Source organism: Homo sapiens, chromosome 7 (assembly GCF_000001405.40).
Source record: "Homo sapiens chromosome 7, GRCh38.p14 Primary Assembly".
Classification (NCBI taxonomy): domain Eukaryota; kingdom Metazoa; phylum Chordata; class Mammalia; order Primates; family Hominidae; genus Homo; species Homo sapiens.
In genome coordinates, this window is record NC_000007.14 from 24,434,073 (window position 1) to 24,456,436 (window position 22,364).

Below are 22,364 nucleotides of genomic sequence, written 5' to 3' on the forward strand. Positions count from 1 at the left end.
CCATACTCTAAGGAATGCCAAAATTGCTAGCAAATCATCAGAAGCTAGACAAGAGGCTTGAAACAGATTCTCAAAGCCCTCACAAGGAACCAAGCCTGGACACTTCTAGCCTCTAGAACTGTAAGACACTATATATCTGTTGTTTAAGCCACCCAGTTTGTGGCACTTTGCTATGGCAACCCTAGAAATTAATACATTCCCTCTTTCACAATTTTTAAAAAGTAAAGAAATAGATGCATCTTTGCTTTGGCATGAAATATTAGAACAACACAAAAATATGTAGAATAAAAAGTGAAATGCCCCCCCCTTCACCATCCTAATACCATTCCTCTCCAACATAACCACAATTATACTGGGTAGCTACTCCTCCAGAACTTTTTCTGTGCATTTACACACAGATTTGTAGAGATGCTCATATGTGTTTATGAACCCAGTTTTTCTGACTCTGGGTTTTCCCTTACATGTTATTATTCACTCGGATACCTAAGATAATGTTTACTCGTCTATTGATTGTTAATTCAAAGTGTTTCTTCTTTTTAACAACCCATTGAAGTTGTGTGCACGTGTATGTGTGTGTGTGAGTGTATTTTCATAATCATTTCAGGAAGAAAGAAAAATTCAAACAAAGAGACCTCTCTGAGGTAAAATGTGCACATTGGAAAAGCTTTTAGATATTGCAGACATAGATATACTTGCTTTGCATTCATCCTACAGCTAGAGACCAGGTGAAAAGTGTGAAATACAAGTTTTGTGATATGTTTTCCCTCAAGCTCAGAGGGTAATTCATGCTTCCACGTAAATACAGGTGGTAGTTATCTACCCACAGATGTGACTGCCCCCCTCCAAGTTTTACCTGTTAAAAATGCATCTTTTCCCACTGCCTGGACAAGGTGCTACTCTCTCCTATCAACTCAGAAATTTCTGCTTTTTAAAAACAAAGCCAAATAAAAAAACAACACTGTCTCCATATGGCCACTGTTGCAGAGCGCATATGGTGCCTGGAAGGAAAGAGAAAGCCTTGCACTCCTGTGGTCCTCTCCAGTTGATACATAGACTAAAGTTCAAGAATGCTCAATCTGCATATGAATGGAGGGAAGCGTGGGGTCTGAAAGGGGAAGTCAGCAGGTACCTCCTGCAGCCCTGGGTGGCCTGTTTCCAAGTCCGGTGTCCTTCCTGCCTCACTCACCACCGTTCTTAGAGTACTTCATTCCCTGGGTGCCACACAAATGAGGCATCCCACCAGCCAAGATGGAAAATATTTCATTAACTGTGCTGCCCATGGAAAATAAAAGTAGAAGGGAGAGCCCAGAACAGAGGCTGAGGCAGAAAAGAGAATGGTGGAGGTGAAAGCCTGAAGCCCAAAAGGAAAAAAAGAAGCAAAATGAAGATGTGGAGTGGCAGCCGTGGGAGGAGAGGGGTGATCACAAGGGGGTGGACAGAAAAGGCCTTGGCCTAATATAGCAGTTTGGCCCCTGTCATGGTTAATTTTGTGTCAATATTTGGCTAAACATTTTTCTGGATGTTTCTGTGAGGGTGTTTTCTGCGAATGAGATTAACATTTAAATTGCTGGACTTTTAGTAGCATGCCCCTTCATAACACAGCTGTGACTTATCCAATCCATTGAAGGCCTTAACAGAAAAAGACTGACCTCCCCAAGAAAGAAGAAAATATGCCAGAAGATTGCCTACAGGCTTGAACTGCAACTCTTCCCTGGGTTTCCAGCCTGCTGGTCTATTCTGCAAATTTTGGACTTAGCCTCCCCACAATTGTGTAAGCCAATTACTTAAATACAATGCTCTCTCTCTTCTTCCCATATTGGTTTTGTTTCTCTGGAGCACTGGAAACTTATCCTATTGGTTCTGTTTCTCTGGAAAAATTACTAATATAGCCCACAACAATCTCGCCCCTCCCTGTATGCCCATGCCACTCCTCATGTCAAAAGATAGGGCTTATTTCTGCTCCCCTTGAAGCAGAAATAAGGGGATCGCTTTGACCAACAACATGTGTCAGGTGTGAAATTCTAAGACTTCTAAGTGCAGGCTATAAGAGAACTGGGAACTTCTACTTCCTTCCTCTTGCAACCCAGCTGCCATGCTTTCAGAGACCCTAGCTACATGGAGAGACTGTGTTGAAGAGAATCTAGGTGCTCTGATCAACAACCCCCATGGAGACTTCAGCACCACCAGCATTTTCCAAAACCAGATGATCCTCAGATGACTGTGGCTTCAGATGATATCACATGGGGCAGAAGAACCACCCAGCTGAGCTCCATCAGCTATGGCCTCATGAGAGATAATAAAATTGGTGTTGTTTTAAGCCACTAAGTTTGGGACTGGTTTATTACACAACGATAAATAACCTGCCTTGAAATTTGGCTCAAGGTAGACCCTTTGTCCATTAAGACCTCTGTCTTCCTGGATGGCTTTTCCTATGCCTAGCAAGAACCCATTTGACTCCCTAGAGAAGGGTTGCCCTTATTTTCAAATCCAGGATACCCCTTCCCTAGGTCTTTAAGCAGTTCCTGCCAACCATGCCAGAGACAAATCACACTGCTACAGCTATGTTTGAAGTCACCAGCTAAAAACTACTCCTCCAACAGTGTTTCCCAACCGCCAGAATTAGTTCATTTGCAAATAAGTGCCCTGAACCCTTTATCATGTTAAGCAAAGTGATAGTGGTGTTTGGTGGAGGCAGACACTTTGCTAGGGAGTCATTTGAATTAACTCCACTGTTATTTGCTTGGTAGGAACCTGGCCTTAGTGGCTTCTTTCAACATTATATTACACTGCATTGCCCAAGGTCATTATCAATCCAAACCCCAGTGGAACTAGGCCAAGCTGCTCATAAACTTCTCTTTGCGATCTACCACAGGAATGTCCTCCATCTCTCAAAAAGGGAGTTCATTCTGTACCAATGATGTTAAGACCTTTACAATGTAGATTTAACTTGAAAGAATATAGAATATAGGAAACTCATATAATCTTATGGTAACAGGGTCTAAAATTTATATTCATCACTCAGGTATGTAAAACAAACATAGTTTATCTATTCCCTATAAATAATCTGACATTCTTCAGGCCTACCTTATTGACTAGTTGGGAGAAGGTATTCAGATACAAAATTTGAATTCGCCACAATTTATGGCAATGCAGTCTCTTTCAGTGTAAGCTGTCTTTCTTAGATGACTCAACTTTCTCCTCCACATGCTCTTCTTGGTGAGGGTAGGCAAGTGTAATGAAGTGTGTGCAAGGGCCTGTATCCCTTCGGGGAGCTTCAGACTCTTATTGTTCTGTTGGTGAGTGAGACCTCTGGTCTAGTCTCTGAACTGATGACCACAGGGGTCTGTCTGGTTGCAGACATTTGCCCCAGTCATAAACTTTCCAAGCTTGCTCCCAAGGACTGTTCACCTCTGTGCTGTTTGCCAAAGTTTGTGGGGCCTTCTGACCCCCACATAAGAACTGCTGCCCCAGCTCACCTGTTGCAGTATTGTGCCCTGCCACATTGGCAGTGCCTGAGCACAGGACTTCTCCTAAAAGCTCCTTCACCATCTCCAGGACAGCCAGAAGAGCATGCCACTAGCCCTGTACCTTTAGTGACCTCAGATTCCTGAACAGCTGAATTTTTTCACTATGGACCCCCTGGAGGACCCTGCTCGTACAAGGCACAAGCAAGTACACATGTCTGAGCTTCTCCTCTCTCTGCTTGCAGTTTACCAGGGCTGGAAAGGGTGTGTAAGGGTGTGTTTTCTTTTCTTTTTTTTTTTTTTTTTTTTGAGACAGAGTCTCACTCTGTTGCCCAGGGTGGAGTACAGTGGCATGATCTCGGCTCACTGTAACCTCCATCTCCCCAGTTCAAGCAATTCTCCCTGCCTTAGCCTCCTGAGTAGCTGAGATTACAGGCACCCCACACCATGCCTGGCTAATTTTCGTGTCTTTTAGTAGAGATGGGGTTTTGCCATGTTGGCCAGGCTGGTCTTGAACTCCTGACCTCAGGTGATCCGCCTACCTCAGCCTCCAAAAGTACTGGGATTACAGGCTTGAGCCACCACTCCTAGCCAGAAAGGGTATGTTTTCTACTGTCTTTGTCATAACCTGGGTTCTCTGTGTGCTGTAGAACAGGGTTTGGCAAACTTTTTTTATGAGGGGCCAGATAGTAAATATTTCAGTCTTTGTGGTCCACATGGTCTCTGTAGCAGCTACTCAACTCTGCTGTTGCAGTGTGAAAACAGCCATAGACAATACATGAATGAATAAGTGTAATAGGGTTCCAATAAAGCTTTGTTTGCAAAAACAGGTGGAAGGCTAGATTTGTGCTGTGGGCCAGTTTGCCAGCCCCTGCTATGGAAGAAACCACATGAGCTTAGTCTTCCAGGTGTAGATCTTGATAAGGCAGTATAGTGGGTAAGAGATAACCACAATTTCTTTTTTACACTCTTGACTTCAAATGGTAGCTCTCTGCATCTTTACCTTAAACCTGGTTGAGTTAATGGCTGCTTTAACCAATAGAATATACTAGAAATAACAATGTGCCCATTTCTGGTTCAGAGAATGGCAGATTTTTTTTTTTTTTTTTTTTTTTGGTCTTTTGGAACATTCACTCTTAAAACCCTGAACCCTGCCACGTAAGAGGTCCAATTACCCTGGAAAGACTATATGGAAAGGCCCTGAAATTATGTGGAGACAAGCAGGGTGCGGTGGAGCTCAGCCTTCCAGCCATCCCCACCACAGCACAAGACCTGTGAGCGAAATTATCATAGATTGTCTAAGGAAGCCCAGAAGCCAGTGGAATTCCACTGACATCCCCCAGACCAAGCTATGCATGGCAGAAGAATCACTCAGCTAAGCCCTGTCCAAATTTGTGGCCCACAGGAATCATGGTTCTTTGAAGTCACTAAATTTAGGTGGATTGCCAGAACAGGTTATGGCTGAAAACTCCCTGGATTACTTCAAAAATATTATTCTCATTCCAATTAAAATCTAGCAAAGTCACTGAATCTCACTGTTTCCACCTCTTGGTAAGCACAAGGTGAAGCTTCAACCAACTGACTACCTGTCTTACATTTTGGAGCATAAGATTAACTTTTCCTGCCAAAAAATTTCAGCAAAAATGTTCTTGAAAGAAGCATGTGCAAATCAAATGGAAGAATACGTGGTTTGGGAAATGAGAAGACTTTAGCATTGTGTTTGATGAGCATTACATTTTTACGGCCTGTAGGGGCTTGTAGCTTCCTTGTCCTGATTATGCAATCCCACAGCATGGCACACAGGAAAAGATGTGCCTAGTGCCTGTTGAAGCAGAGCAAGGATAAGAAGGATAAATGAATATGAAGTCTTTCTATCTTCTTTCTGCCTTTCAGGAAGGGTTTTTGCTTTGTGGCTGTCAGCACCTGAACTTTCGTTTTTGGTGCAGAATCTGGGAAATGGACAAATTTTTTCCCAAGAAAAATAATTGGAGTAAGAGGCCAGACTATACTTTCCAAAGTTTTTTGTAGGGAGCACAAATGGAGGCTCTAGAGTGGGAGTGAGGGTGAAGGGGAAATAGAGGAGACATGTGGAAGTAAAGGAAACGCAGGAATGGGAGAGGAAGAACCAGATTGTCAGGCACTGTTGAGTGGAAGACATTGTGCTGGGTGCATGTGGGGGGAATATTCTATAGTGGGGAACTGGGAATGGGGAATTGATTTACAAAGTAGCAACTTCTGCCTATGTGGAAAATAGTGGAAGATTAGAGAAGATGATTAAGATATTTTGTTAGACATTAAGAACAGCAACCCCACTTCCATGCCTTTGGTCTTTTCTAAAACACTGAATACCATTGAAATAGTTGATTATCATATGTGCCTATTGTAAACTGCAATGTTTTCTTTTTTTCAAAAGTATCCTTTAAAAGAGAGGAATCATAATCAAATCCCTCCAAAGTTTCTCATATTATAGGCTTTCTATCATTGACTGTACTTTATTTTGAACAGCTGGTGCTGTTGGGAAAGGGACATTGGCCTGAACTGATCTCAATCAATGCCAGTTTTGGGTGATTCTGGAATCAGCTGATGGGGTCAGTTAGAAAAGAGCAAAACTATTTAATACAGATTTACTTGTCTGTTTGTGGGATATCATCTCACAGTTGTAATTGGTGATATTATCGATAGAATTATTTTAAAGATCTTTCAAAAGCAAAACAGTACGTGCTTCTGTTGTAGAGATCAAGTGTAAACACAAACAAGATAAACAAAAATAAAAACAAGTGATCTAATATTTCACAAATGGGTACTTAATCCTTGGGATGACATTCCCAGTGATGACATAACACATGCTGTCAATGCTATTTCTCTACAAAGAAAGATGATATGCTCTGCAACACTGTGGAGAATGATTCAAAAGTGACTAGTCATGTTTTCAGTGATTTTTCTGATTAGAGAAAATAGGAAATTTATTGATACATATAGTTGTTTGCATGAAATCATATAGACAAATATTCATTTCTGCTTTTCTGCTGTTTCTTTCCATTGACATGGCACAAAAGTGAAGCCACATTGAGTCCCAGCTACATTCAGGTCTCACAATATATTATTTAGAGCCCACATGGGTAATACAAGAAAAAGTAACCCTTTGGTCTAAATTTTATATATGTTTCAAGAGAGAGTATGGGGTTTAGGATCTTTGTTATCCCCAAATACTAGTTTTGCATTTCTTAATACATGTAGACAATTCCAGAAAACACTCAAGGTGAAATCTCAGAGGTGATAATCACATATACACGTGCTTCTTGAGATTGGCACATAATTTTGTAATATTATTTTAACTTTCTAAAGGAGAGGGTACAAAATAAATTAGAAGAAAAATTAATTTCATCCTTGTGCTAATTTGGTACAAGAGGAGTTATGATTAAAGGCATGTAGTTTTCTATTGATCTAACGTTGATCTACCATAAAGGCCATGAATTGACTCAGTCAGGTCAGATCTGACTCAGAGACTTGCTTTTTTTGGATTGCACAGTGTTTTTGTTTAAGTTTTCATCAGTTCCTTTTAAATGAGGATTCTATAATTCCCCCAATCACCTCTACCCACTTACACCTTGCCTTCTTAGCCAAGTATATTATCTCGCTGGTTCCTGCAGACATTTTTTACCGTCCCTGATGAAAGTTTATAGAAATTAGTTTTGTAAGTTGGCCATAAAACCTATAAAACAATTCAATTATGAGTCAGTTGCCATATCATTCCCAGATTTACTATAAGTGAGCTCAGAAGAGGAGAGGAAGCATTTGGTTGGCCCTGCCCTTGGCTTTCTACATGTTACACTTTAAATTTATTCATAACTTTTCACCTAAGAATAATATTGTGGCACTGAAATTAGCACTGATGGTGTTGGATAATTCCCTCTGAACAAAGGATGTTAGTGTTACGGAAGTCTGGCATGGAGATTCTCATAATTATGAATGTCCAAACTGTACTCCCTGAGGGAAAAGTCTATGTGAATGAAGCCTGGCTCTGACAATCCACACATTTCTTGAGGGCCTATTAGGAATCTCTAGCATTTTCCACATTTCATTCAGCATTTTGTGTTTCTTTTTCCCACTTTATAGACTAAACGAATAGATTATAAAGACGAGTTTATTCTGAAAAGACCACGTCAATCTCATTAGCACCTACTTGAAATGGTATCCCTGTGTGTTAGAATTCCTTAGTAAGTCTCCTTCCATTTTTCTAGAAAAAATCTGCGTAGCAATAATATGTGTTTAAAAATAAAAGCCAGCTGCTCCTCACACATTCACAGCTTCTCCGCCCGCCCTTCTTTGCAGGGCATACAGGAAGTCAAATTTTCAGTTTTGTTTTGCTTTTTAAAAATCATCAACTACAAGACTATTTTCTATTTAGATGGATCTGGTGCCTGGAAGTGGGTATTTTTGTGCCCTGCCTCCCTAAATAAAAAAGGTATTTATCCATTTAACATGTTGTCCATTTCAGCCCTTTTTAGACCAGAGGGACTAGACAACATATACATTTTGGAAGACTCATGTGCTATTGCACTAATTAATAAAACCACATTTTAAGCAAACATGCTGTTCTCTTACCTATTTTTAGGGGAAAAATACCTAAGGTGTTAGATGCAGTAGGTTGATTACTGAAATGACCCCATTTTCTACCCCTCCTTGTATCCAAACCCATTGCAAAGTGACCTTTCAGCTCCTCCCATCAAGATGTGGATTCTATTTCCCCACTCTTGAGTCTGGGCTGGTCTTATGACTGTCTTTGGCCAATGTGGCAAAAGTTGTGGTGTGCCAGTTCTATGCCTAGTCCTCAAGAGGCTTAGTGTGCGCCCACTCTCTTGAAACTTTGCCACTGCCATGAGAAAAAGCCGGGCTAGCCTGCTGGAGGATGAGAGACCACATGGAGAAGAGCCAGGCCACCCCAGCTGAGGCCATCCCGGACTGGGCAGCCCCCCGCCAACCTGTTAGCTGATTGTAGGGGTGTGAGAGATACTTGCCAAAATCAACTAAACCCAGCCCACATCAGCAGAATTGTTCAGCCATCCCACAGACTTGTGAAAAATAATGAAGAGCTGTTTTTAAGTTGCTATATTTAGCAGCAGTTTGTTATGCAACAATAGCTACTTGATACACTCTGTCACAAAATATAAATTTAAAAATGTATTCACATATATAATAGAGAGTATGAATATAGATGTGACTGCACTGTGGCTTGGGATCTAGTGTCAGATTCACCACGTTCAAATCCAGCTTTTTCACTCACAAAAATGATAACAAGTTAATCTCTTTAAACTTTAGTTTCTTCCTGGAAACTAAGGAAAATTAGTACATTGTAGCACTGTTGTAAAAATTAGAGAATATATATATATATTCTCTAATATTGAGCACAGTTAGTGCTTAATCAATGAAAGACACTAGCATGTCTATGCATATGGTTATGTTTGCTCTTATGTGACTTGTAACTAATAAATTCACCTTTCTATGGCCCAGAGATTACAGCCAATAAGTAGTTACCTATGAGAGTTGTCTGTGTGTCTGGCCCTCACAAGGAGACCTGCCTAATCCCCAGGCCCTCTAACGACTTCCTTTTCCTAGAAACATCTCAAGGTACTTCTCCATGGAGGCCTATGGGCTCAGACCTTCACTCCAAAGCACAGCCTTCACTTCTGCTGGCCTTCTGCTATGCTTCAGTGTGACTGCCCTCACCTTGATCTGTCTCCTTGATTTACTGCTATTGTTTGATTGCTTCTCCCTTGGTCTTCATGATTGCTGCCACATTGACATTATCACTCCAGCTCGGCTTCTCCAGCCATTAGCCCAACCTTTTTACTCTCCTCACTGGTACATTTATCAGGTTCTCACCATGTCATGACACCATGGTAGAAACTCACCAAATTCCTTTTTCTCTCTCAGTACATAGCTAGACTACATTTTCCAGCCCCCTCATATCTAGTTCTCAATAATGGAACTCTCACGCTGGAGCGATATATAACTTCTAAGAAGAAACATATAAAAGTGGGTATGCCTTCTCCACATTTTCTTTTCACTTCCTGGTTGGCTGTTTGGAAAGCATAGAGTGGAGGACAATTGTGGCACAGGGGATGACAAAGGTACTAGTTGGAAACAACCTGGATCCCTGTGTCACCACCTGGAAGAGAACAACCCGAGAGGACATGACCAGAAACATCTACATTGAACTTTCCACGAGTTAGAAACGAATTTTTATTATGTTAAGTCTCTAATATTTTAGTGGTTTTTTGTTACCACAGTATTGCTTAATGTATCCTGACTAGCACAACTCCCAAATTCTGTAGCCCTACTTTCTGTTTCTTAACATGCTTCTAGCATAACAGCTATAATTTGCTTCTCACAGATCCTTTGCATCTTTAAAGTTGGGCAAGTTACCTAGAAGTTTGGTAAAAAGAAAATATAAAGTAACTCAAAAAATATTTTTGAATGCCTATTAGTTGCTGGGTAGTGGGCTAGGCACTGAGATTATGTAGATGAAACACAAAAGTGATAACATAGTGCTTCACTCAATATTACACCTCTGGGGGCTGAGTTATCTCTGCTCCCAAGATATCTTCACTCTGCTCCCAAGAATAAATTCCCTGTCCATACTGGATCTTGTAGGAAGGGTAAAAGATAGTCTTTTTCCCTGTGCTTCTTATTGACAAGTCTCAGTCCTAAGGCTACAAGGCAGCTCCCATATATCTTGTTTTTTTTTTTTTCCTTCTGAAGATCCACTGGAGCCTCTTATGAAGATCCCTCACTGGCTGCCCTAACATGCCAGGACTTCACAGGTGACTAGGAAAATAGGTAACCCCCCACAACACCCTCCCTGTAGTCATACAATTTTAATGTCACAGTATGTTTTTATATGTTGTTGGTTGTTTATTTTTTCTCCCTAGATGCCCAGAAGGGTGGATCACAAGATTGTGAATTTGACTTTCACTCTAGCACTCTGTACAAGAAAAACTGTATCTGGTAGAGACATGAAGTTATTTTAAATGGGAAAATAAATGATTAGTAAAATGATAGTTATTTTAATTTTCACTAGAAAAGATAAGACACTTAAATAAAGAGGGAGACTTTCCATCTTTTTGGGAGAGCAAATATGAGGTTGATTTAAAATTTTTTTTAAAAGCCCCAGCCATGAAACTTACTCTAAACATAACAAATTTGCATTTCCATTTCCAATTTAGCCTTATAGTCCTGAAAACATTTCTCCTTCCAAAGATTTTTGGTATTTCATCTGCTACTAAACAACATGCTGCCGGATAATTAAAGAGCCACATTTGGGGTGTTTTCAAGAATCTCCGTGTGTTCCTGGGATGGTTCCACAGAACTTCAGATTACATCGTCTGTTATACATTGTTAAAGGGAATTGTTGAAATCAGAGACGTCCATTGAGCCCAGAAAGAACCAGAGGAGCAACAATAATAGCTGGATGCTATAAATGCCTCAGTATTTGAACTCATCTTTCAATCATTGCACTCACCGTAGGTAGAATATTCAGCAAAAGGACGTTTGCCACAGAACCATCATCTGTTTCTCACTCTGCAGTGTCTGACAGTGAGTGAGATCGGCTCACTTTGATACTGAATGTGTTGGTTGGAGATAATTAATTCCCAGCCTGTGTGAGTTAATCATTGTTTCCCCACTTTTCTCAGCTTTAATCAGACTCCCATGAGCCTTCCACTGAGCATGCTCACAAGAGCATTCACGTGCCCCTTGTTATTGCTGTCAAATCCCGTATGCGAAAGGAATCTACTTTACAGAACGACAGCACAGCATTCTTCACTTAACAGCAACTAGATTCTACTATTCAATTTATGGACTAAAGTTGACAGATATAGCCAATTGGCCATTGATAATAGTACAACATACAATAAAATTATATTTTAAGACAGTGCCAACTTGAGTACCTTTCTTCCATATAAACAATTCACAAGGTCCCTCATGGAGGAGGAACACTGTTTTCTGATTATCCTGTAATTGGTACAAAATATTTCACTAGGCCAGGTGCGGTGGCTCACACCTGCAGTCCCAGCACTTTGGGAGGCCAAGGCAGGTGGATCACTTGAGGTCAGGAGTTCGAGACCAGCCTGCCCATCATGGCAAAACTCCGTCTCTACTAAAAATACAAAAAAAAAAAAAAATCAGCTGGGTGTGGTGGCACGTGCCTGTAATCCTGGCTACTCAGGAGGCTGAAGCAGGAGAAGCGGCTTGAAACCAGGAGGTGGAGGTTGCAGTGAGCTAAGATTGTGCTACTGCACTCCAGCCTGGGTGACAGAGTGAGACTCTGTCTCAAAAACAAAACAGCAAAAAAAACAAAACAAAAAAAAATTCACTACTGAATTGGAAGTATTGCATTTTCTTTTCTCTCCGTATTCATTTTTTGGTTGTTGTTGTTTGAGACGGAGTCTCGCTCTGTCACCCAGGCTGGAGTGCAGTGGCACAATCTTGGCTCACTGCAACCTCTGCCTCCTGAGTTCCAGTGATTCTCCTGCCTCAACCTCCCAAGTAGCTGGGATTACAGGTGTGCACCACCATGCCCAGCTAATTTTGTATTTTAGTAGAGACGGGGTTTTGCCATGTTGGCCAGGCTGATCTCGATCTCCTGACCTCAGGTGATCCACCCGCCTCAGCCTCCCGAAGTGCTGGGATTACAGGTGTGAGCCACTGCACCTGGCCTAAAATATTAAAAAAAAAAAAAAAAAAAAAAAAGAAGCCTAAGTATTTCTGACTCTTCAATACTAGAACCTAGCAGCTAACCCAGGGAAGGCTACTCAACAAACAGCTATTGAACTAAAATCTTTCCACGTTTGTTCAATTGAAATGGTTGTTTTATCTTTACCCTGACTTTTATCTGCTTGGAATATCCCTCTGGCAATAATGCTGTATTCTGACACACAGTTCTTTTTAAGTACTAAGTTACATTGCTGTTGGAGTTTTAGATTTTGAATATTCCCCGTGTGGGCATTTCAAATGATAGATGGAACACCTATGCCACTAAAAATTTTTAACTACGTGAAAGAAAAATTTCTCTACTTGTTTCTCTTCAACCATAATATTTTTAATCAGTACTGAGATGATAAATTAAACTAAATAGATTGCTCAGTTGATTTTTTGTGTGTTACTGCCGACTTTATTTTTCTTACGATCATTCTGACATTCTTCTTTGGTTAAAAAGAAAGAAAACTCAAAAAGATGTACCCTTTGAATTAAAATTTTGATAAAGATATAGAAAGAAAGAAAAAGAGAAAAGGGGAAATGAAGAGAAGGGAAGGAATTCAAAGATGCTTTGATATAGATATGAAAGATCTTGGCTTGAGCCTTCTGTTCTCTGTAGGGTCCAGACCCTTCCAGACACATTCATTGATCTAGGGGGATAGGGAAGCCTCACAGGCCTGTTGATGTGGCTGCTAAGGAGCCTCCGGAGAACACACTAGTTCTGTTTATTGCTGGCATGCAGAAACATCTGGCACTTCTCAAGGCCAGGTGAAGGGGATAATGGGATCCTGGGGTAAGGAGAGGTGTGAAGAGCCTATTTAGAGAAAACTCAACCTAGGAAAGAAGACACTAGGTACTTTGACCTTTAAGTAGCCACTGAAGTGGGGTGGGGACTCCTAATAACAAGACAATAACTATACCAGATCTACCCAGCCTCACCTTCAGACCCATGTCTGCATCTGCAGAGAAGAAAGCTGTGAGTAGAAACAAAAAGAGCTGCTTCTCTAAACTGTCAGGGGCATTAGGCACAGATGCCCCATTGTCAGGGGGTCCCCCACATTCCTGAAGGTCGCTGTGTGACCTTGGCACTTGGCCACTGTCAGAGTGGACACTTGTGTTCAGCAAAGCAATCCAAAGCAATGGCACATTCACTGTGGCTGGTGGGACACTGTGGAGTGACCAGCCAAGTATAGTGGCAACAGGCAGAGAGGACGGCCATGCCTGGGGGATGGGAAGAAGAGTAGTGAGGTTCAGCAGCATCACATGGTCACCAGCGCAATAGTACACATGAGGAACACCTTCTGGGAACACCCAGTTGTTGTCAGGTGGACTGGAGATGCTGTGAGAGCAAGCAGAGGCACTGGGCCAGCAAAAGGTCGGTCTGAGTGTGTACTGGTCTGTCCCATTTATCCTCCAGGGGTGACTGAGGCCTGGAGACACTTGGGATAGACAGAGAAAAAGGAATCCTGAGGAGATGTCCTTATCAAATGAAGTAGGTAAAGAAATTTTTGTTTAAAACATCAGGAAAACTGGCCAGGTGCACTGGCTCATGCCTGTAATCCCAGCCCTTTGGGAAACCAAGAGGAGCAGATTGCCTGAGCTCAAGAGTTTGAGACCAGTCTGAGCAACATGGAGAAAGCCCGTTTCTACCAAAAAATACAAAACATAGCCAGGTTTAGTGGTGCATGCCTGTGATCCGAACCACATAGGAGGCTGAGGTGCAAGGATTACCTGAGCGGGAGAAGTCAGGGCTGTAGTGAGCTGTGATTGTACCACTGCACTCCAGCCTGGGAGACTAAGTGAGGCCTTGTCTTAAAAAAAAAAAAAAAAAAAAAGAAGTCGGGAAAATCAGTGTAAAGCATTGAAAATCACACATGTATGAGGCACCCACGTGTGCCAGTCTCTCTGCTGGGTGCCTTCCGGGCCTGCCTTATGTGCTCTCAGCCAGCTCTGTGAAAGGGCATCACGTGATTAAACAAAAGCTCAAGGTGTTTGAAAATAACATTTCTAAAATCACAAAACCAGTGATAGTGGATATTCAATTCATGTCTTTCTGACTCAATGCCTTTATCCTTTCCATGGTTTCTGAACAGAAAACCATGCAAAATAATAACAGTTGATAAATCTTTGTGAAGGGTAGGCAGGAGTCCAATGTGCTATTCTTACAACTCTTAAGTAAATATGATTTTTTTTTTCTGAAATAAAAAAGAAGAGGCCGGGTGTGGTGGCTCACACCTGTAATCCCAGCACTTTGGGAGGCTGAGGCAGGTGGATCACCTGAGGTAAGGAGTTTGAGACCAGCCTGGCCAACATGGTGAAACCCCATCTTTACTAAAAATACCAAAAAAAATTTAGCCCGGCACGGTGGGGCATGCCTGTATTCCCAAGTACTTGGTACACTGAGGGTTAATAATTGCTTGAACCCACAAGGCGGAGGTTGCAGTGAGCGGAGATCATGCCACTGCACTCTAGCCTGGGCAATAGAGCGAGACTCTGTCTCAAGAAAAAAAGAAAAGAAGAAAAGGAAGAGGAAGAAAAATTAAAATCATGCAAACCAAAATTTGAAAAGTGGTAGGGATCTACCGTATGATCTGTCGAGATCACCAAGAGATTGTCTGCCCTGGGCCTCCCTTTCAGAGGAATCGCTGCTTCCGTGCCCCTTGGCTTCATTCTCATAAATCACCTGGATTGGGTGGAATTCTAGGTGGGCCCTGTTTTCCTGTCCTAGGGCTGCTGTAACAACATATCACAAACTGAGCGGCTTCAACAACAGAAATTTCTTCTCTCACAGTTCTGGAGGCTAGAAATCTGAAATCAAGACATCAGTGGGGCTGTGCTCCCTCCAGATGCTCTAAGGAGAATCCCACCTTGCTTCTTTTAGTTTCCAGGGGTTGCCAGCATTCTTGGTGTTCCATGGCTCATGGCAGCAGCCCATCTCTGCCTCCGTCTTCACACGGCCTTCTTCCCTGCGTCTCTCTCTGCCCAAATTTCCCCTTCTTGTAAAGACACCCCCAATCCAGTATGACCTCATCTTAACTCAATCACATCCACAAAAATCCTATTCCCAAACAAAGTCACTTTCACACGTCCCACGTGGACATGAATTTAGGGGTGACACTATTCAACTCAGTACTGTCCTCCAAGATCCCCACCTTCTGGTGTACATGTCCCAAATAATCCCCTCTCCTCAAGTGTAAGCAGCACCTGCAAATATGACGGGTTAGTCACTTCTTTTTTCTTCTTTCTCTCCTTTTTTTTTTCTTTTGAGAGGGAGTCTTGCTCTGTCACCCAGGCTGGAGTGCAGTTGGCGCCACCTGGCTCCACCTCCCAGGTTCAAGCGATTCTCGTGCCTCAGCCTCATGAGTGACTGGGATTACAGGCACACCACCAAACCCAGCTACATTTTTTTTGTATTTTTAGTAGAGATGGGGTTTCACCATGTTGGCCAGGCTGGTCTCAAACTCCTGACCTTAAGTGATCCGCCTGCCTTGGCCTCCCAAAGAGGGTTAGTCACTTCTGGGATTCCATGATATTACAGAAGACTCCATCGCAGCAGGCTGGAGAGAGCTTTAAGTGATGGTTTTGAGGAAGGGCCTGATTAAGAGCTTTTTCCTGATGGCTTTGAGGAAGCACATGGCCATGCTGTGGGAGAGCCACATGGTTAGGACCTGAGAGTGGTCTCAAAGAGCTCAGAGCAACCCCCAGCTAACAGTCAGCAAGAAAATGGGACCTCTGTCCTATAACCACAAGGAGTTGAATGACCTCTGCTGACAACCAGAGTTCTGAATGGGCTTGAAAATGGATTGAGCACCTCCAGACAAGAAGTCAGCCTGCTGAGACCTGAGTGGGGAACCCAGTGAAGCCATACCCAGATTCCCCACCCATAGGATGAGCTGATAATAAATGCGTATCTTTTCACTGCTAAATTTGTGGTAATTTGTCATGTAGCAATAGAAAACTAATGCGTCATCCAGTGTCTTTTTCCCTTTAGATTGGTCTGCAGATGGCTCAAACAAATTATAAAGATGTGAAATTTGGAGGAGAGACAATAGGGCTAGAAAACTTTGCATCTGATTTAGATTTGTCTTCCCATTTGGAGCGGCTCTGAATGGTTCCTGGCTTTATCATGACTTGGTAGTTATTGTGTCCCATATATCTTCCCCAACCATTTGCCCCACCCCACTTAAGGAAATCAAAACTGGTTTCTGTTGTTTGCAATCAAAAGCACCTAATTAATTCAAAACTATAGAGTGTAAATGTTGTGGAAGTGTATATTAAGTTACCTATATGATAGTGTGAGACTAAAAAAAATGAAAATCATAAACTTTAAAGAAAGATTTCAGCTAAGAAAATTAGTACTATTATGTGGAGGTGATAAATGAGTATTGTATTATATTATATTATATTATAGTTACCAGGCTGTGTACTTTACATATATAAGCTCATTTAATCCTTACAAAGACCTCATCGGATAGGCAGTTGCTACCTTTAATCTCGTTTCTCATTTACAGATTTAACAAGTGATCAAGCTGGGATCTTAACCCAGGTCTGTCTGACTCTAGGGCCTGCCTTTTAAATCACTAAGCAATATTGCTTCCAGCAAAATAATTAGTGCCATATATTGTCCTCAAGCCGTAACCTTGGGTTTAAGAGTCTCTTAGTCTACCAAATGAAAGAAGAATAAAAATCGTCTTGTAAATAATGAAATAAAATCCAGGTAAAATTAAACAAATATATTTTCTAACGACGTCAAAAAAAATGAAAGCCATTTGTTTTGGAATAGGATTTATCAGACTCTGCCTGGTTTCCAGGTACCCCTCAGTGTCCCTCCCCACCACGAGTGACACTACTGACCCCTCCACCTGTGTTTCAGTTCGGCTCCGGTTTCTAGGGCCAAGGCTCTCAGCCTGGGCTGTACATTAGACCCACCTGGGGGCTTTTAAAATCCTGGAAGCCACCCAGTTTGTGATACTTACATCAGAATCCCCAGGTGTGGGGCTCAGGCTTTGGTATGTTCTTCTGGTTCTCCGGGTGTTCCCATTTTGCTGTCACAGCTTCGAGAACACTGCTCCAGGATTCACGCAGACCTCGGGCAGAAAGACAGAAAGGCTTCTAACCTAGCCTTTGCTTCTAGTCATATATGCTGTCTGCAATGCAGCTTGACTGGGGACCCCAGGGCACAAGGCTGGACTTCCACTTTTACCTCCAGACCCAGGCTCCGTCTTGTGCATCAGTTCTAGTTACAGAGACCTCCTTCTCATTGAGTCTGAGTTCCCGTTTTAATAACCTGTGCCTCACTCCACTTCCTACAAGTTTGGGGGTTCATCTGTCTTGCTTTGTCTTGTTCTCCCTGAACCAGAGTTCTACCTACAACCTACTAAATGGCCTAGACCCTGCCATTCATGGACAGCTGTTCCTGAAACCACCACCCATTCCTGCATCAACCTTTGCTGGGCTTTGCACACTAAGCACACCTGACCGTTGGTGGTCATTAGCTGCCTGACTACGTCATTGTCCTCCTTGTTCTGGACTTTTCCTAGTCCCCTCCCTGGGCTTGCCCCCAGCTCCCATCCTGTCCCCCACTGTCAGTTTCTCTGCACCTGTCACCACATTGCACTTTGTGGAATCCTCTCACAATCAAGGCGGAGCACTTGCTGAAAGTAAGCAGTCACTCGCTTGTAGAAATTAATACATTTCATCCCAAAACAATTTAGTAGTGTTTGAAAATGCATTGAAGAATATGTGTCATTTACACTGCCTATTACACAACAGATCAATAAGAGAATACCTGTATTTTATATAATTAAATATATGTTCATTCATTCACCTGAAAACAGATTATAAGAAGCAGGAGTGAATGCAAGAAGAACTGTTGGAAGGAAAACTGTATCAGTCCAGATGCATTTGGCATGGACTAATGGGGTTACAGCACAGACAAAAAGAAGTGGGTGGATTCAGAACAAATTCGAGAAGCATAGCTGATACGAGGAAGGGTCAGAGGTATAAGAAAGCTGTTATGGACTGAATGTTTGTATCTCCTCAAAATCTGTATATTGAAATCCTAACCCCCAATGTGATGGTATTAGAAGGTGGAGCCTTTGAGAGGTAATTAGGTCAGGAGAGTAGAGACCTCAGGAATGGAATTAGTGCCCTCATAAAAGGGACCCCAGAAATCCCAGTTCTCTTCCCACCACATAAGGATACAAGAAGAAGACTCTCACTGGAAGTGACCACACTGACACGGTGATCTTGGACTTCCAGCTTCCAAAACTGTGAGAAATAAATTTTTGTTGTTTCTTAGCCACTCAGCCTATTGTATTTAGTTATAGTCTAAAACTGAAGTGAAGATGCCAGAACCACTTTATAGATGGGAAGTTAAGCGAATGGTTAAAGGTAACGCCTTCTACTGAGTTAGTGAAGATGGGGGAAGGACAGATTCAGCAGAAGATACCAGGTGATCTGTGGATAAGTTTAAAGTGCCTATTAGGCACCCAATCACTAAATAACCTGTTACACATTCAATATCCTGGGCAATTTACGCGGCAAATAAAAAAGACATAGCATCCCCACACGTTCTCCCCATGTCTGTGTGGGTTTTCTCCAGGTGCTCCAGTTTTCTACTATATGTGCGTGTTAGGTTCATTGACATGTATACATGGTACCAACATGAGAGAGTAAGCGTGTGAGTGGCCCTGCTATGGGTTGGTATCTAGTCCAGGATTGGTTCCCACCGTCAGCTACCCAGATAAGCTCTGGCATCCCGCAATCCTGAACTGGAATAAGCAGGTTGGAAAAGGAATGAGTGAATGAATATAAACTATGGTCAAATAAAAATTAATAAAGGAGATGACAATCATACAGATGCCCAACAATAAATGATGTGTACAAAAGTGCTCAAAAAGGACAACCGATTGGTGATTTTTTTTGAACTTTGTGGTGGCAGGAGGTACTCTTACGATTTTTGCTTTGCAAATATTTATTTCCTGATTTAACTCACCACCACTATGACCACCATCACTTACTAATTCAACAAAAATGGGCAAATAATTTTTACCTTTAAAAACTAATCTTTCTTAAATGTATGTATAGCTCACATGGATTATGTTAGAAGTGTTGGCGTCTTTAGAAGTTTGGTGATGTTTTTAATTCTCGTTTTTATCAATTAACCTATGGTAAAACTGGTTTTGCTATATGCCGTTTCATTTGAAGTCACAGTTTGTAAGAATCTATGTTGTGCAGAACCCCTATCAGCTCCCATGGGGATGGCACCAGGTTCAAGAGGCCAAAGAAGAGACCCAGAGCCAGCAAACAAGACATGGCGTTTCACCGAGGCTTACATACAGAAGACAGAGCCCATTGGCAGCAGGATGGACAGACGTGCCCTATATACAGTCCAGTGGTGAAGGGCTGAGCAGGAGAACTGCAACCACTTGCAAAAGGCATGCAGTTTATGGAACATTTTCACTTAATATCCTCCCCCTGACAACCTCCCTCTGGCAACCTTCATTCAACCCGAAACTCGGAGGCTCGATTCCCCTATATGGCCTATGTTCCATGGGACAGGAAGGGGGCTCAGATGTTCCTCATAAACAAGGAACAAATCTCCAGCTGGCCATTCCCAGTTTCCCTAGCTCAGAACACACATTCAGGTGCATCTGTCATACAGGGTCATCCTCAGGGTACGCTAAAGTTATTGCTCTCAGGTGCATTTACCATACAATCTATAGACAATGTTAAGTGAAAACTTACTGTACTCTGGCTGTGAAACAGTGTTGTCAATACTATTCTATTGTTACTACTTTCAACAACTTGGCAAAAAAACCTTTGATAGTTATTTGGTATTGAACACACACGTCTAACTTGTTGTCCGTGTAATTGCAGGGTCTGTCAGTGGTAACGTGAACAGGAGCTGGGGAGGCATATTTGTGAGAAGCCAAATCTGAGTGCTGTCACATTTCATCCTGTCTGCTGACTAATATCCACGTTTGGGAGGGAAGTTCTCCGAATGTCTTGCTTCTTTTTTCATCCTCAACCGTGACTGTGTTACCCCGCTCTGACCGTGGCATAGCATCCTGACATGAGAGTACTTCCAGCTCTTCAGGGTATTCATATTGCAGAAGTTTTGAGTTTAAACAACTGTGGAAAGTATATTATTGCTAATTTTTGTTGAATTATTATTTTATTTTTAGAGACAGGTTCTTGCTCTGTCACCCAGGCTGGAGTGCAGTGGCACAATCATAGCTCACTGTTAACTTGAACTCCTGGGCCCGAGTGATCCTCCCACCTCAGCCTCTTGAGTAACTAGGACTATGGGTACGCACCACCATGCCCACCTAATTTTGTTTGTTTGTGGAGATGGGGTTTCACTACCCTGTCCAGACTGATCTCAAACTCCTGGCCTCAAGGGACCCTCCTGCCTCGACCTACCAAACTGCTGGGTTAACAGGCATGATCCACCATGACTGGCCTTGAATGATTATTGTAGAAAATTGGGAAATAATTATAATAAAGGAAAAAAAGCATCATTTGTGATACCATCAGGCCAGAGGTAGACACCCTTGATGCTTTGATGCATTTTCCTCAACTCTTTTACATGTGTGCATATATATTTTTTGCTTTTATAAAATTGGGGGTTTCCTGCTTTTTTCACTTAAAGGTGTATCATATGCATTTTCCTGTATCATTACTTTTCTAAAACATGATTGTTATTGACTGCAATTATATGCATATCTCATAATTGTTTAGCTATTGTAGATTATAAGCCTCAAGACAAATTTTAAAAAATAATTTTCTGTTTTTGTTTTGAGATGGAGTCTCGCTCTGTCACCCAGGCAGGAGTGCAGTGGCATGATCTTGGCTCACTGCAACCTCCGCTTCCCAGGTTCAAGTGATTCTTCTGCCTCAGCCTCCTGGGTAGCTGGGACTACAGGCGCACACCACCATGCCTGGCTAATTTTTTGTATTTTTAGTAGAGACAGGGTTTCATCGTATTGTCCAGGCTGGTCTTGAACTCCTGACCTTGTGATCTGCCCACCTCAGACTCCCAAAGTGCTGGGATTACAGGCGTGAGCCACTGCTCCCAGCCAAAATAATGTATTTATAATGATTGTTTATGGGATGGAGTTTACTGCTTTGGAATTAGAGGGACTGAGGTTTAAGTCCCCTCTTATGAGATATTTGACCTAGGCAGAGGACCAATCCTCCCAGCCTCACCTGTAAAATGGAGCTAATTTAAATAACTAGGTTATTGTAAGAATTACATGATATAATCTCTGCACCCAGAAAAAGTACATAGAAAGCTATTACAATTGATTTGTTTTCAGAAAGCTTGGAGCTAGAAACTCGCATACCTATACATAATATAAAAAAAGAATTTTGGAGAGGTCCTACAGTGAAAAACCAAGGATATTTGTTGTGAACCTAGAAAAATGTCCTGGCACAGGGGCATAAAAAGGTTAACTTTTTGCATTTTAGAGTGTCCACAATGCGGTGATGTTTGGCCCTTTCACAAGTTAAAAGGATTGAGTTAAAGGGAGCAATGATCTCTAGAAATAGGGTTTGGTGGAGTCTCTAAAGGGGTGTGTGTGTGTGTGTTCTGTTTTTAAAAACTGGAAACTTCTCTGCTAAATGTTCTGTAAACAAGCTCTGTTGGATTAGCAGAACTTGCAAAAATTATGGTGACTGAAACCAGAACCATTGGTATGCTCTAGCATGCTGTGGTTTTCAACCCTTTCTAAAAGTCTCTTATGCAAAGCAGATTTCAGCAAAGCTGCTCTGGTGGAAGAGGGAGACATGCCCCATGCCCACTCTGCTTTTCCTCAAAATGCCATCCTCTCCCCTCCACGCGGTGACAGGGAACTGAGAGACCTAAGCTCCCAACCCAACGATCCCACTAACTGGCTGCGTGTGATTTTGAATAAGTACTGACCTCCATATTTTCATTTCCCTTGCCCATGAATGAGATGACTAGGCACTAAGGTCCCTTCCACTCTAATAGCCATGATTTTCTGAGTCTTCATATTCGCTTTTCCTGGAGTCCCTCCAGCCTCCCTGAGCTATGAGAACTCCACATTTGGCCTCCAACATTGGCAGAGATTATGCCTTTTCCCTTATCCAAGAGGAGTCAGAATTTTCGTGGTAACT

The 22,364-nt window shown here is 42.1% G+C and overlaps 1 long non-coding RNA gene across 14 annotated transcripts in view, besides 2 other annotated features; it reads right to left on the reverse strand.

The window, feature by feature from the left end:
- The window catches only part of LOC107986777 (uncharacterized), a 303,857-nt gene extending 292,791 nt beyond the window's left edge, over positions 1-11,066 (reverse strand). For all 14 annotated transcript variants that reach the window (XR_001745132.2, XR_007060256.1, XR_007060257.1 and 11 more), the window contains exon 1: positions 10,987-11,066. This is a non-coding gene — a long non-coding RNA (uncharacterized LOC107986777). The remainder of the gene's footprint in view (positions 1-10,986) is intronic.
- Positions 772-1,309: an enhancer, noted in NCBI's record as "OCT4-NANOG-H3K27ac hESC enhancer chr7:24474463-24475000 (GRCh37/hg19 assembly coordinates)". NCBI's record gives its function as "activates a minimal SCP1, AML or CMV promoter by ChIP-STARR-seq in primed H9 embryonic stem cells {active_cell/tissue: H9 hESC(primed)}" and the evidence as "EXISTENCE:reporter gene assay evidence [ECO:0000049][PMID:30033119]".
- Positions 22,086-22,135: an enhancer, noted in NCBI's record as "active region_25742". NCBI's record gives its function as "activates an Ori minimal core promoter by ATAC-STARR-seq in GM12878 lymphoblastoid cells {active_cell/tissue: GM12878}" and the evidence as "EXISTENCE:reporter gene assay evidence [ECO:0000049][PMID:35858748]".